General features: G+C 36.3%; 1 long non-coding RNA gene across 1 annotated transcript in view; it reads left to right on the plus strand.

The window, feature by feature from the left end:
• The first annotated feature begins 4853 nt into the window (after positions 1 to 4853).
• LOC107986150 (uncharacterized) overlaps positions 4854 to 15765 on the plus strand; it is a 35884-nt gene continuing 24972 nt past the window's right edge. Inside the window, exon 1 of the long non-coding RNA XR_007096152.1 lies at positions 4854 to 10730. This is a non-coding gene — a long non-coding RNA (uncharacterized LOC107986150). The remainder of the gene's footprint in view (positions 10731 to 15765) is intronic.

Below are 15765 nucleotides of genomic sequence, written 5' to 3' on the forward strand. Positions count from 1 at the left end.
AGATGCTTTGAATCTGTATTAAAAAGCACAAATGGGAAAATTACAAACTCTTTAGGAACAGAAGAAAAACAAAAACCCTACATAACAAAATTGAGAGAATACAGAAAAGCCAAACAATCTATGAAATTACACACTAAGTGTCTTTATTGCAAAACAATGTACAAGGAGACTTAGAAAAAATTGTGAAAGAATTATGTTAACTAATAAAGATAACAGCAGAAAATAATAAAGTAGGAAAGTAAAAAACAAAAACAAAAATGAAAAAGGAGACTTGATCAAGAAAAGAAAAAAATATTCTCTGGAAAGATCAAGAAATAAATCTAGAAAAGATCAGGAAGCAGAGAAGATACAGATAACATTAGGAAAGAAAGGTGGCATACAACCACAGATAAGGAAGATATTAAAAAATTTAAAAAGCACCTCAATTGATATTTTTTTGTGCATGAGATGGCATCTTCTTTTGTTCTGATTACTGGAACTTGTGAGATAATAATTAGTTAGCACTACAGCTTGTGCAGAGGTGAATGAAATTTGAAGAACCAGGCAGAATTGTTAAGAATATAATAGTGTAAGAACATAAAGTAATGATAATTGTATCAACTGATCATTTTGAACCAGGCCTTTCATCATCAGTATCCTAAAGTTTCTATCGCATAACTAAAAAACACACTGCTGGAGTAGAAAACTTTCAAAAGTAATCATCACTAGTGTGTATTCCCCTAGGTAACCTGAGATGTTTGGAGACAGATATTATTGGGAAAGGAATGGGTCCACTTTGTAAAACTGTGTTTAGGTTTTTTTGGGATGTCTCTGGAGTCTACAATATCAGGAAGAAGAAAGGAGTTGATGGGAGAATCCACTTAAAATGACCCATAGTCAGCTACCCAATCTTTCATGCATTTGCTGAGAGTAATCTTACTTTTAGCAGATGAAAATTCAAGGATAAAATGTGAGTTTTTCTAAAGCTTCCAAACCTGACCATGGTGAAAAGAATATGGACTTTGAAGAAAAACAGCTCTGGATTCAAGTCCTAGCTCTTTCTACTAATCAGTTCTGTAGTCTGAGACAATTAGCTGTATCAGTATACTTGGTTTTCCCAATTATAAAGTAGGAATAATATTGACTTCATAGGGTTCTTTTGAAAATTAAATGAAATGTCATTTACAAAGTACTCATCATATGGTTCCTGCTGAACCCCGAACCCCATTCTGCCTTTCTTTATTGCCATCTTTTAGTAACTTCTCTTCTGGCTATTCACATTCCTTCCATTTTGTCACTGGGATGTTACCCCTTCTTCCCTTCCTTTCAGTAAACCATGCGCCTACTCCATGACTTACCAGCAATCAGAGAAATCCAAGTATCATTACTGAGTACCCTTGGGTTGCTTTGGAAAGATCCTCTTAAATCTAAAAATAACTTAGCCCCTTTTCTACAAGGTGTAAATGGCAAAAATGAGGCCTGCTTCTTCTTTCTTTCCTTCCTTCCTGCCTGCTCCCCCCTTTATTTTTGCTTACCACATTTTTTTTGAGTTCCTATGAAACTATGCATGAGCTACATTCCCCAACTCACTGATTCCTGTTTAACAAGTATGCATACGCTTAGACTGAAGTCTTTCACTGGGGAAAGACCCTAATCTTGAAACACTTGTAAAATTTAATGTTAGAATAAAGACCATATTATTAATGATCAGTAATGACAATCAGTAGTTTATTCTAAAAATTGGAAAAACAGCATTCCATTAAGGGACTTAATGTTGATGTCCCCATTAATCACTAACAAAAATAAGAGATTTATCAGAATAGGCACAAGTTTTTCCCTTAAAAAGCCTGTCCCCATCTACCACTATAGAGCTGAGGAGTAGCAATAAGACCAGTTTAACAAAAGATTTTCTGCATCATTTATTCTAAAGCAGTCTTTTAAAAACATTATTTCTATATTACATTATTATTACATACAACATCCATTTTGGTGTAGCTATATCTATTTGGGCAAGACAAAGAAGACAATGGAAAGTCAACAGAGTTAAGAGAAAAGAGTGAGGCTCCACTTAATTGTATTAGGTAATATCCTGGCTTAGCAACTCTTATCCTCTTTTATTGATCTCATTTTCAGAGGGGAAAAAAGAAATAAAATGAGTAATCCATGAGGATATTTGAAAGTATAAACAGAAATTTGAGGCAAATTTTATTTACTTTTTTTTGGTTTGCTTTCATAAGGTGCAGATTAACCCTTGCTTATTTCTTTTAAACCTTGTTATATTAACACTATTTATTTATTTTTTATGCCCTAAAGATACTACTACTCCCCCAGAGTAGAACTCTTCCTAACATTCAGTAGAATTTGAAGGGTATTTGAGGGAATTGTCATATGTTAATGGAGTTTACATGTTCTAACAGCAAGTAGCTATGCCCCTCTGGTATACTAGCTAACTTCTTAACCATTTTTAAATGTCCAGTGCAGTGGTATTAAATACATTCATAACAGTCTGCAACCATTACCACCACCTCTCTCCATAATTCTTTTCATCTTATAAAACTGAAATTCTGTACCCATTAAACAACAACTCCCCATTCCTCCCTCCATGCAGCCCCTGGCAACCACCTATTCTACTTTCTATCTCTATGATTTTAACTACTCTAACTGTTTCATATAAGTGTACTCATACAGTATTTGTGTGGCTGGGTATTTCACTAGAAAACTGTTCTCAAAGTTTATCCATGTTGTAGCACAGGGATCCCCAATCCCTGGCCCTGGACCAGTACCTATCTGTGGCCTGTTAGGAACTGGGCTGCACAGCAGGAGGTGAATGGTGGGCGAGCATTATCACTGGAACTCTGCCTCCCATCATCAGATCATCATCAGCATTCGATTATCATTGGAGTGCAAACCCTATTGTGAACTGCGCATGTGAGGGATCTAGAATGCATACTCCTTATGAGACTCTAACTAATGCCTGATGGTCTGAGGTAGAACAGTTTCATCCTGAAACCATTCCTCCCCTCCCCACCTCCCTGTCTGTGGAAACATTGTCTTCCATGAAACAGGTTCCTTGTGCCAAAAAGGTTAGGGACCATTGTTACAGCCTATGTCAGAATTTCCTTCCTTTTTAAGGCAATATTCCATTATATGTATACGACATTTTGCTTGTCCATTCATCTATTGCTGGGCATTATGTTGCACTCTTATGCTCAGTGATGCATCAGTAAATGAATTGGTTACCTGGAGTTAGAGGTTGTTCCAGGTACCTACATAACTGGACCATATCATGGTTAAACCTAAGATCTTGAATAAATTACTGGAATACATTTATCAATAAAGGAACGAATCTCACTTTCCTTCTGGCTGGTATAAGGAAAGCCCCATTAATAATCTTATAGTTATCCTTTTTTTTCCCTCAGAATAAGTAGGCAATTTTTTCTCTGTAAAATGGAAAATATTTTTCCCTTCACTGCTATATTGTTACAAAGATGCATGTGATATCCCCCATTACTATCAATTCTTTTGCTTTAGTTTTCCTGTACCAAAATAGAATTTTATTTTCTTCATTAATTAGTCCTTTGGATTAAAGGAAACAAAACAGACAGGGTGCAGTGGCTCACGCCTGTAATCCCAGCACTTTGGGAGGCCGAGGTGGGCGGATCACCTGAGGTTGGGAGTTCAAGACCAGCCTGACCAAGATGGAGAAATCTTGTCTCTACTAAAAATACAAAATTAGCCGGGTGTGGTGGTGCATGCTTGTAATCCCAGCTACTCAGAAGGCTGAGGCAGAAGAATTGCTTGAACCCGGGAGACGGAGGTTGCGGTGAGCTGAGATCGCACCATTGCACTCCAGGCAGGGCAATAAGAGCACAACTCCATCTCAAAAAAAAAAGAAACAAAACAGGAAAGTGGTAGTGACTTGAGTGTTTTAACTCTGTCAAGCTCAAAAGAAGATGAATAATAATGATACAGACAATAATGATGATAATGACTATCAGTTATTAAACTACTATCACAAAATTTTCACAAATAATCTTACAGCAAGTTTGGAGGGTAGGAGCTTTGTATCTCATTTTGTAGACCAAGAATCAGAGAGGTTGGAACCCTTCTAAAGTGACACAACTTTACGAGTTGGATACCAAAGACTTTTTTGTTGTTGTTGTTTTTGCTGTTTTTTCTACCCTTTACTATGTTAACTCACTTTAAATTATTTCTCCATGACTACTCATATATCACTTCTCCTGATATTTTTCTCAGAGAAGATGGTTGTGCTGTGCTAGTTAAAAGAATAGATGTTGGAGCCAGACCTACCAGATTTAAATCCTAGCTTTATCACTTAACTGTATGAATGAGGGCAACTTACTTAAACTCTCCTCAGCCTCAATTTCCTTATCTGCCATGAAGGATAAAAACAGTATTGAATTATTTTAGTTAGTATATCTAAGCCATTTAGAAGAGTAGGTGGCATTGAGCAAATGCCCTGTAAGCGTTCACTACTATTGTTTTGAGAGTTTGAGATAACACAGGTAAAGCAGTTAGGGCAGTATCTGGCCCCTAGAAAATGCTTAATGCTTCTATTTTACTTTTAAGTATGTTTTATTTATATAATAATAGTTTTAAAGTAGTTTTTCAGGAATACAATCAGCATCTTCTTCCTTCCCTCTCCCCTTCCCTCTGTCACTCCCTTTCTCCCCTTCTCTCTCCCTTTTGTCTTTCCTACCTCCCCTTTTGTGACAAGTGGCTATGACTTATTCAATTTGTGTGTGTGTGTGTGTGTGTGTGTGTGTGTGTGTGTGTGTGTGTGTGTGTGTATTTGAGATGGAGTCTTGCTCTATCTCCCAGGCTGGAGTCAGTGACACAATCTCGGCTCACTGCAACCTCTGTCTCCTGGGTTCAAGTGATTCTCGTGCCTCAACCTCCCAAGTAGCTGGGATTACAGGATTGCACCACCACACCCGCCTAATTTTTGTATTTTTAGTAGAGACAGGGTTTCATCATGTTGGCCAGGCTTGTCTCTAACTCCTGACCTCATGTGATCCACCTGCCTTGTCTGCCAAAGTACTGGGATTACAGGCATGAGCCACTGGGCCCAGCCTGCAATTGTGTTTTCTATGAACTATTTTTCAGTGAAATCCATTTATTTACCCTAATGTTCCAGACCAACAGAAAATACATTTACTTCAACATCACATATTCAGAGGCAGAACACTGCATTTCCCCCATCTCGTTAAAAGACTTTTACTAAAACAGTGGTTGATAAAAAAGAATCTTAAGGTTTTGAAAGTAGAGATTAGTTTAAAAAGAAAAAAATTCCAATTTATGAGAAAGAGAGATATTAATGATAATGACAGAACTCTCTATATTTGAACTACAGATTAAGTTGAAAGTGGCCGCAATTTTGATGATCCAACCATTTTACTTTGCGTTTTGACACGTGACCGTGTCTCTGCTCAGAACAAACTTACTTTGCCTGTCCTTGCTGAGAGATTTATTGCTTCATTGAAGGCTTTTGATTTAGCAACCATCTTCCCTAACTAGTTTTCTTATCTTGAATCACTTGGAGTAAGACTCTTCAGGTATGATGAATAGCTGTATAATGAGATGGAGAAGAAGCCGCCCCATCATTTTATATTTCCACTGGGTGAGTTGTCACTCACCTCCAGCAAAACATCTTTCTCCCTTATGTATTATGAAAATTCATAGCAACTCTAGCGTAGTGACATTTTGCTGTGGAGAATTTGGCATTCGTTGTGAAGGTATTATTTTAATTTCTGTCAAATTAAACTTTCAGGTCAGGGTTGCTATTAGGGATGAAAAGAGCAAATCCAGAATGAAAGTAAGAAGTAAGAAGATAAGGCAACAAGACAATTCAGATGTCAAGATTAAACAACAGGAAAAGAAGCCCATGGAAACAGAGTGGCAACTGGAAGTAAAACCATGGTCTTTCATGGATAGTTCTGTCCCAGTCTTCATCTCATCTAGTGATCTGTACTTTAAATTTATTTGATGACTTGGTGGGAGGATTCGGGGAGGTTAGAGAAGCATCTCAGTGGTTTTAAGTACATTCACAGGGTTGTGCAACCATCATCACTATCTAAGTCTACAACATTTTCATGACCTGAAAAAGAAGCCCCATACTTGTTAGCAGTCACTTCTCGTTCTTCCACCGCCACTGCCAATCCTAGGCAGCCATTAATCTACTTGCTGTCTCTACATATTTGTCTATTCTGGACATATTATATAAATGGAATCATACAATATGTCGCCTTTTGTGACTGTTTTATTTTACTTAGCATAATATTTTCTGCTCACTGTTGAGGAGGGCAACTGGCACATAGTGGGTGCTCAAAAAATATTTACAGAATGAAGAATAAGAAATGGAAAAGTTTCTACCTTCATGCTTGGAGTTGGGAGGTGAGTGGATCCATTCCCTACTCTGGTCATTCATGTTGTAATATGTATTAGTACTTCATTCCTTTTTATTTGCTGAATCGTATTCTATTGTGTGGCTGTCCTATATTTTGTTTATCCATTTCGTCAGTTGATGGACATTTGGGTTGTTTTCCCTTTGGGGTGATTATGAGTAATGTGGCTAAGAACATTTTGTGTGGACATATGTTTTCATTTCTCTTAGGTATATGAGATATGATAGTGGAATGGCTGGGTCATATGATAACTCTGTGTTTAACTTTGAGGTACTGCCAAGTTATTTTTCAAGGTGTTTGCACCATTTTACATTCCTACGCATAATGTATGAGGTTCCAACTTCTTCACATCCTGACCAATGCTTGTTATTGTTTGTGATTTTAGCCATTCTTATGGGTGTGAAGTGGTATCTCATTGTGGTTTTCATTTATGCTTTTCTAATTAATAATTATATTTAGCATCTTTCCATGTGTTTATAGGTCATTTGTACATCTTTGGAGAAATGTCTATTCAAATTATTTACCCATTTTTAAACTGGGATATTTGTCTTTTTATGTACAGTTGTAAGAGTTTTTTAAATATATTCTGGGTACAAGTCCCCTGTCAGATATATGATTTGCAAAGAGTTTCTCCCATCTTATGGTCTGTCTTTTCACTTTCTTGATGGTGTCCTTTGAAACACACAAGTTGTTAATTTTGGTGAAGTCTAACTTATCTCTTTTTTTCCTTTGGTCTCTTATGAATTTGGTGTTTATGTAAGACACTATTACCTAATCCCAAATTATAGAGATTTTCCTCTAGTTTCCTTCTAGGAATTTTAGAGTTTTAGCTCTTACATTTAGATGTGTGATCCATTTTCAGTTGTCTTGTGCATGGTGTCAGGTAGGTATCCAAATTCATTCTTTTTCATGTGGATATCAAATTGTTCCAACACTGTTTGTTGAAAACAGTGTTCTTTCTCCATTGAATTGTCTTAGTACCCTTACCAAAATCAATTGACCATAAATGTAGGGAATTATTTCTGGGTACTCAATTCTATTCCATTGATCTATCTATCTAGCCTTATTCCAGTACCATGCTGTTTTGATTACTATAGCTTTATTCTAATAAGTTTTGAAATTTGGAAGTGTTGATCCTCCATTTTGTTCTTCTTTTTAAATCTTGTTTTGGCTATTATTTATTTTTTGCATTTTCTTATAAATTTTAAGATCATCTTGTCAATTTCTGTGAAAAAGGTAGCAGGAATTTTGATAGGTATTACTATCCTGTAATACAGATTTAATTTATAGATTAATTTGAGGATTATGCCACCTTAACAATATTAGGTGTTCTGATCCATGAACATGGGAGGGCTTTCCATTTACTTAGATCTTCTTTATTATCTTTTTCAATAGTATTTTGTAGTTTTCAGTGTACAAGTCTTGAATTTCTTTTGTTAAAAGTTTTTTAAAACTCCAAATGTAAATGAAGCTTAGTGATGTCCAGGAACGATGTCTTGGTCAACCCTGCATCCCTCCTACCAAGCTTAGTGTCTGGGTTAGTGTCTTGAATTGTGGCTGGCAATATTTGTACTTATCGAGGTGAGTTCAAAAAATATCTTTCATGTCCATAGAAAGTTGACAGTATCATCTCCTTTTTATTACAGCATTCCATTAAGAAAACAACATATATTAATGCCATTTAATAAGAATGGTAAATTATGGATAATATATTAAAGCCAAGATGGTTAACTGACATCGCCAAAGATATGCAGTCAATGTCAAATATAAAATTAGAGCACAACTCAACATTTCCCCCAGTGATACATTAATTCTAAAAGCCTTTAAGTCAAGAAAGACATGAGAAAGATAAAGGGAAAAAAGGGGGGTGGAACTAAGTGATTTTTATTGGATCATATACAAATGTATATTGTCATATCATCCACCTTTTTTAGGGCTAAAAAAGGCTTTCAGTTAGGAAATGTACTTTTTTCTTGAACTTCTAAATTAGCTAAGTGTTTGAAAAGGAGACTTAAGAATTATCTCCATGCCACATATCAATGGCATTGACATGAATATTCCAGAATCTTGACTTAGTGAAAGTTAAGGTCAGACTCCCAAAGATGAAGCTAAAGATGTAGCAAATTTTCTAAACTCCCTTTTCCACTTGTGCTTCAAAGGTAGGAATCTCTTTAATGAGTTAACATTTCCTGGGATGTGGTCTGTGCTGCAGGATTTAGATTGAGCATCCAGTTAAACATCTGGCAGGGTGCTTAATAGAGAAACTCCTAAGGGGATGAAACTGGTGTTAAATTACCATGATTGAAAGGAGTGCAGGGTATGGATAACTAGCATTTACTGAGAACACTTATAAATCAGAATGGCATTGTCAAAGTGAGGCAACCAAATGGACCAAGAGGAGAGTGCTATACTGGCTAGATGTTATTGATTATGCAACTCTCATTCACAGGGGGAAATGAGGCCTATTGAGAATTTCTTGATGATGAAAACAGGAGGTGCAAGAAGAGAGATGCTTATTATCAAGGGTTTCAGACATTGTGCCCACAGGAGCTGCTGTGGTTGACTGAAACCTTTTAGATCTGAACTGGGTGAATGATGATGGCTGCCTGGATTCAACACCCATAAAATTTTCAATTATAAATGGTTAAAAAAGAAATAACTGAATACTCCCAGAAGTGTTCCTTACGGGAGCCAGGTTAAAACCTGTGGGAAATATAGGTAGAGGGGCAGAGGACTTCTAAAATGGGAGTGAAACAAAAGATCTTTCAGATGAGGTGTGAATTGAACTAATGTTAACTACATATTTATTATCCTATCAGTTGTCTGAGAGTCAAACCAATGACTTCATCATTAAGTGATGAAGGCCTTAAAATAAACTCTTGGCATATGTGGATGTAACATTTGTGGTTCCACTATATTTAAAGCATTCTAGAGGTCCATTAAATTTGTAATTTTGCTGAGACACAAGCTTGAATTCTGAATTTGATGTGAGAATGAGTAAGTTGATTGGTTAGGAAGTCACCTAGCTAGTGAGTAAGAAGTAATCTGAAACTAATTTTTATTTTGTTTTGAATTTGCCAGCACCTCTAGTAAAAATTAGCTCGGAGGTAATATGAATATTTACAATAAAATAGTTTAATTACTTGAGCTTTATTTTACCTTATCCCTGTCTCCCATTAACATTGATAATTCAGTTTATTTGGAGGAAATAGAGTGATTTCACATGTCTTTTTAAAAGTTTCTGAGAGATGGCAGATAGTAGAAAGCAAGGTTTTTGTCATGAAGCTGCATTTCCATAGTAAGTATCCAAATTTAATTCAGAAGAAAATTAGATAAAAATTGGAAGGGTTTAATTTTTAATCTTAGCTTCAAGTAGGCACATAGCTTCTTGAAAGGAATTAGATCACTGTTGTTGTTAAGAAAATTGAGATGCAATTTTGAAGAATAAGTTACGTAGGCATTTTCCTCAAACCATTAGCAAATAATATGTGATCAATTCCAAGGTGTGGCTTTTAATTTTCAAGGTGAAAGCTATTTTTCTGCGGTGGCTGTGTGGATGCAACACAATTTAGTGGAGGGCATGCTGAGAAGTATCTTCGAGAGGTCTTTGTAGGCTGTAAGAATGACAACATGAATTTAAGTCCTTCTGAGGACTAAGACTATTTAAAGTTTCAGGAGAACAGAGCCAGAGTTGTTCTTATGGGATTTAGCAATAAAGGACTTAATTTTGAGAATCAATTAACAAAATTGTGAATTTGGAACCATAGCAGGATCTGATAGTAACCCTGAAGCTGGAAGGAACCTTGGAGCACAGCTTCCGTTCTTTGATGGTTATAAGCAGGGCAAGTAGTTTCAGTCAACAGTACATCAACATTTAAGTCTTTTCTTTTGAGGCATTTGACTGTCTTTCAGTTTAGAATCTGCAGAGACAAGCAGATACCTCCTTTCCTTCTCCCCCATCAGCCCCTATCCCCCACAGGCATTTTAAAAAATGAATTCCCATTTTATTTATTTATTTTAATTTCTTCTTTTTTTTAGATTCAGGGGGTACATGTTCAGATTTGCTACAAGGGTATATTGTATGGTGTTCAGATTTGGGCTTCTACTGGGTATCATGTTCACCCACATAGTGAACATGGTACCCAATATGTAGTTTGTCAGCCCTTGTCCCCCTTCCTCACTCCTTTTGGAGTCTCCAGTGTCTGTTGTTCCCATCTTTATGTCCATGTGAACCCAAGATTTAGCTCCCACTTATAAATGAAAACATGTGATATTTGGTTTTCTGTTTCCCCACAGGCATTTGAGGGATGAACAAACGAAGAAATGGTAAGCCCTCCTGATTTTGAAATCAATAATAACAACAGAAGGAGCAATTAACAGATGGATCAATAGCTGAAACAAAACGAGCACTCAGGATGAAATTTCTGTTTACTTTCGAAAAATGTTCTATATTAAGACAATTTTTTTTTAATTTAAAAATGCTTTTTCTTCCTTACGTTTTTGTTCTCTATGCTGAAACAATATATCAGCCTGAGGAAAGAGTCATGTTACAGCTCAATGGCAGTATATTTTATTTGCACCAAATTTTCTAGAGATTTTTCTTTTATAGTGTCTTTCTTAAATTCAGTTATTGGCTTCACAGGTGGCCATGCATTCCTGGATACAATCCTCTTGCAGTGTGTGCTCCTTCCACAGGTGTGTGAAAAGCATGCTTTTCATGAGTCTATCTTACCGTGATCTTTCAGGAAGGCCTAGAGAAAGATTTACTGGACATAGCAGATTTCAGGACAATTTTATTTATTATAACATTTGGAAGTTTTAAATCAGACTGAAGCATATACAAAAGCTGAAGAATTCTTGAGAGAGAACTATTAAAATTTTTAATCAAGAACTATATGAAAGTGAGGACTTGAATTCTTCATTATGGTCACTAGGAGGGAGAAAGGGGAAGGAAAAGGAAGGAGAAAGAAGAATATGGGACATCAAAAGACCAGAAGGGATGAAAACAGATCTTTCTCCTTCAGAATAAAAAGAAGAATAAGAAGTTGCTTAGCGAGGGAGAGAGACAGGCTAGAGAATAAGAGATGGGACTGAGTGTTTAGTGGCGGATGAGCTCACGTGCTGCTCTGCTTTTCAACCATTCTGGTAAACATTACACTCTTCTTTGAGCCCTCTTTGTGCTTTGGGGGAGGGTTTAGACTTCCTGACCTTCTGCAAAGAGTGGCATGACCATCCTTAACCTCCCTGTAACCTACTAAAAAGTCACTTGCAGTCCTTTTGGTTGACTTTTGTCCATGAGGAAATACTCAATGTACTTTGAATTGTCATTCTTCAGTTATATCAGACAGTATTCCTGACTAGACGTGGAAATACCCTTCCCACTCCTATCTACTAAAGTCAATGTTTATTTTCTCCAATTTTAGTCATTTAACACACGTATGAAGGCTTGTGTTAGGTGTTAGAGATTTACTCTTAACTTTATAGCTGTTACATTATTTAATTTAAATTTATTACACAAATTACCAGATTGGCTTACTCTTGATTTCAATAGATATCTAGATTACCTGGATATAGCACCTGTTAAATGTGATGAATAAGATTGATGCTTGCAAAGGAGCCTTTTCAATTGCTTTGCACATAACAGGTGCTCAGTGGTTATTAGTTTTCTTCTTTAACAGTGAAGTTGTTAATGAAAGATTTTAAGTAGTAAAATTACAATCCAAGATTAAATGAGTTAGCTAAAATTCCAATTTGCTTTCTGAGTAAATTTCATGTTTGCATATAGAGAGAGCTTTGTTAGGGTTCAACTAAAAGTAAAAATTCAAAGAATTTCACAACACCAACAAGTAATGTATCATATTTGCAACTATGGCTTAACATACTTTTAGTTTCTCCTGCTATTTTGAAGTGTTCCCTTGATATCACTGTCAAGTATGTTAGGTAAAACACACAGTTGCTTATGATCTGAAGCCAAAACTTGTGTCTTTGCAGCCTCATGGGATGCTCAGCAATAGAAAATATTAGTTAGAGTAATTCTGAAAAGTTACAAAAATGGTATTATAGCTACAAATTGAGTCTCACTCATTGACTAATTTATCCAGGCGCATTTATTCAGCACTTATGTCCAGCCGTGCTTGCTATGGCATACAGTGGTGGCAAACAGAGGCTGACTTCCTCCCTTCATGGAGCTTTTATTTTTGTGGTGGCAAATTAATTAGTTGAGCAGTCTTGGCTCCCTTCATTAGATCCCTTCATTTTAAAGGGTTCATTTGAAACAATGGTCATGTCACACGAGGAATAGGCCAGGGAGCCAGGTAATGTTACTCGACAGAAAGAAGTCTTGAAAGTTTGTCTTCATCTCTATCTGGAAGATTGCCATATTTACATCTCCTAAGAACTTTGTAGGAAATATTCTTGCAAAATATGCTGACAGGAAGTTAAGCCAAGAGGTTTTAAAGGACTCTTTCATATCAAGGAGTTGGTAACAAACCAAGGGAGGAAAAAAATCTCTCTTAAAACAACCTCAGAAAAACAGAAACCCCCTAAAAAGTGCTGCCTGCCTTGGTAACTGTAGTGAACTCTAATGAGCAGGCAGGCATGAGTTATGTCTACCACACTATTGACCCTTGTTCATCCTTTATCATTTTGTGCAAAGAAAGCCTGGAGACTAATGGAAAAACATTATGGAGCTTTTATTGATCTTTGCTTCTGACTGTGAACTGTAGCTAGAGACTTGTTAAGCTAAATGAGCTCAACGGAGACTCAGGCTGTCAACATTTGTGGAGAACCTGTACATTAGCTTCTGGGTCTGCAGGGGTTTTCTTCTGATGAGGCATAAACATTGCACATGTATAGTTTTGAATTGGCCTTTCTGGTAATTATATGGAAAGAGTCTGCCTTTAACTTTTTTATACTTGTAGCACTTTTGTTGTTTTTATTTCAAAAGTAAACATGTTTAGAATGTATTATTAAAAAGTGTGCACACGCTTGTGTGTGTGTGTGTTTACTTAACATTTGGCAGCATTTCTTCATCGTCAGTGAATGAAATGGTAATTTCCTGTTTTGTTAAGTGGGTAGTGTTAATTTCACTTCAGTGTCCCTTGTGATTGGAGATATTTAAGCAGAGGCTTGGTAAGGATTAATATTATGGAGGAGTGGTTCCCAACATGTGGGCTCCAAGCTAGCAGCACTAACCTCACCTGGGAACCCGATGGAACTCCTCCTGTTCCAGGTGGTTCTGATGCATGCTGAAGTTTAAGACCCCTGTGCTAGAAAGATGAGCCTAAAATCAGTAATTATCTAGGAGGTAAGAAGAGGATGTGGAGTTTCAACAACACCTGGGATTTTTCTTTTCCCAAACTCACAGTCTCTTTCCCCCACTCTGCTCCTCCTTCTACTCCCATTATTGCACAGTAGCCATTACTCTGGGACTCTGACACAGTCTTTGGGGGTGTTGGGATACACCACTGGACTAGATGAATGACATTTTAGAGATGATCCATTATCATGGAATTATGTCCTGACCTTGTGACATTTTTAGGATACTTGTTAATAAAAATTTCTACATTTTGCTTGTCTTTGCATCTACTCTAGGTATACTGGTGATCCCTTATGAGTTAGAAGTAAGAAAAGTGCATTCTTTTACAATCTAGGAATAGCCTCTGGTTGCAGACCTTTCTTAGGAAATTTGAAAATGTTTTTACTCTTATATGAAATACAATTTTAGTTTTATTGTATAATGCTTTGCAGTTTGGGTTTATCTGAAGTAAGCGACCCATTCACTGGCATTGAGAAAACAAAGTGGAATGGTTTTCATGATCACATGTCTTGAATCCAGGTTCCCTGGGCACAGATCTTGGCTCTGCTAAGCTACATGCATGACCTTGGGAAACTTCCTTTACATCTCTTTGTCAGTTTCTTCATTTGTAAAATCAGGCTAGCGATAATGAGTACTTCTTAACTATTTTAAGCATGTACTGAGTTATTGCATGTTAAGTGTCTGACTCTTGATCAGGACTCAATAAATGTTGGATATTACTATGAGTGACTGTTGTGTAATGAGATAAAATTACCTACAACTGTGAAGATAACTAATTAAAACAATAATCAAGACTGGAAAACATATATTTATTGTGTACTATATAAAAAATCTGTCGGAATAGAATAAAGCTATGAAGACAGACAGATACAGGTTTGAAAATTTGATATGTGTCATACGGCAGGTAACTTAGCTGTTCCTGAGTCTTGGTTTTCTTATGTTTGAAATGGAGATAATGCTGCATTGCAGGGCTGTTGTGAGCAGAAACAAGAGCATTTGGAAGAGACTGGTATACTCAATACAAATGGCTATTATACTTTTTGTTGCAACTTGCTTTTCTTGAACTAAATTTTAAATAGCAACTTCTCTTTTTTATGGAAATCTAGGGAGTCTGATTTAGAGGAAGTGAGTATATGCTGTAGAATGGCCCATATGCCACTTTGCTATTAGAATATGAGTCATTATTTCTAAACTTAGTATTGCTTTATTTGTATGTTCCTTGCTTTTCTCAGAATCCCTAAGTCAGATCTAACCATAAACTTTGGATCATAAAAGAAAGCAACTTCAATTAAGTGCATTTTTTTGAGTCACTGCAAGTCACTCATATAAGGTTGTCTGACCAAGCAGTGATGTAAAAAGGACTCATAGTATTTCAGTGAGCAACTCTGGCATTTAATGTTTGTACAGAGCTCTTCTACTTATGAAAGTTTTAAATTTGTATTATCTTTTTTATGGAGGTACAATTTACATATGGTGAAATGTGTAGACCTAAATTGTGCATTCCCTCTGTCCTGACAGATGCATACATTTCTATTAACATATAGAATATTTCCATCACTCCAGAAAGTGTCCTCAAGTCTCTTCTCAGTCAATTCTTTCTCTGCTCCCATGCAACCACTATTCTGATTACTATTACCTTTGGTTAGCTTTTCTTGCTATAGAACTTCACATAAGTGAAATCTCGCAGCCTTTTGTCTGTACTTTTTTCCTTACCATAATGCTTTTGAGATTCGGCTGTATTGTTGTATGTATCAGTAATTTGTTTATTGTTGTCGGTGACTAATATTCCATTGTATGGATATACCACAGTTTGTTTATCCATTTTTTTATTGAGAGACATCTGGAACATTTCTATTACTTCTTTTGATCATTATTGTAATGTTGTTGAATGGTCAGAAGATTCTACTATCTCATTCTCTAGATTAGGAAGCTGGGACTCAGAGAATTGAGACAACTCAAGGTCCCACTGCTGGTAAATGAGGAACTTGAGAGGAGAACCTGGTTTTCTGGTTCCAGATCCTCTGCTTCCTTTACTTCCCATTT

This window comes from Homo sapiens, chromosome 3, assembly GCF_000001405.40.
Source record: "Homo sapiens chromosome 3, GRCh38.p14 Primary Assembly".
Taxonomy (NCBI): domain Eukaryota; kingdom Metazoa; phylum Chordata; class Mammalia; order Primates; family Hominidae; genus Homo; species Homo sapiens.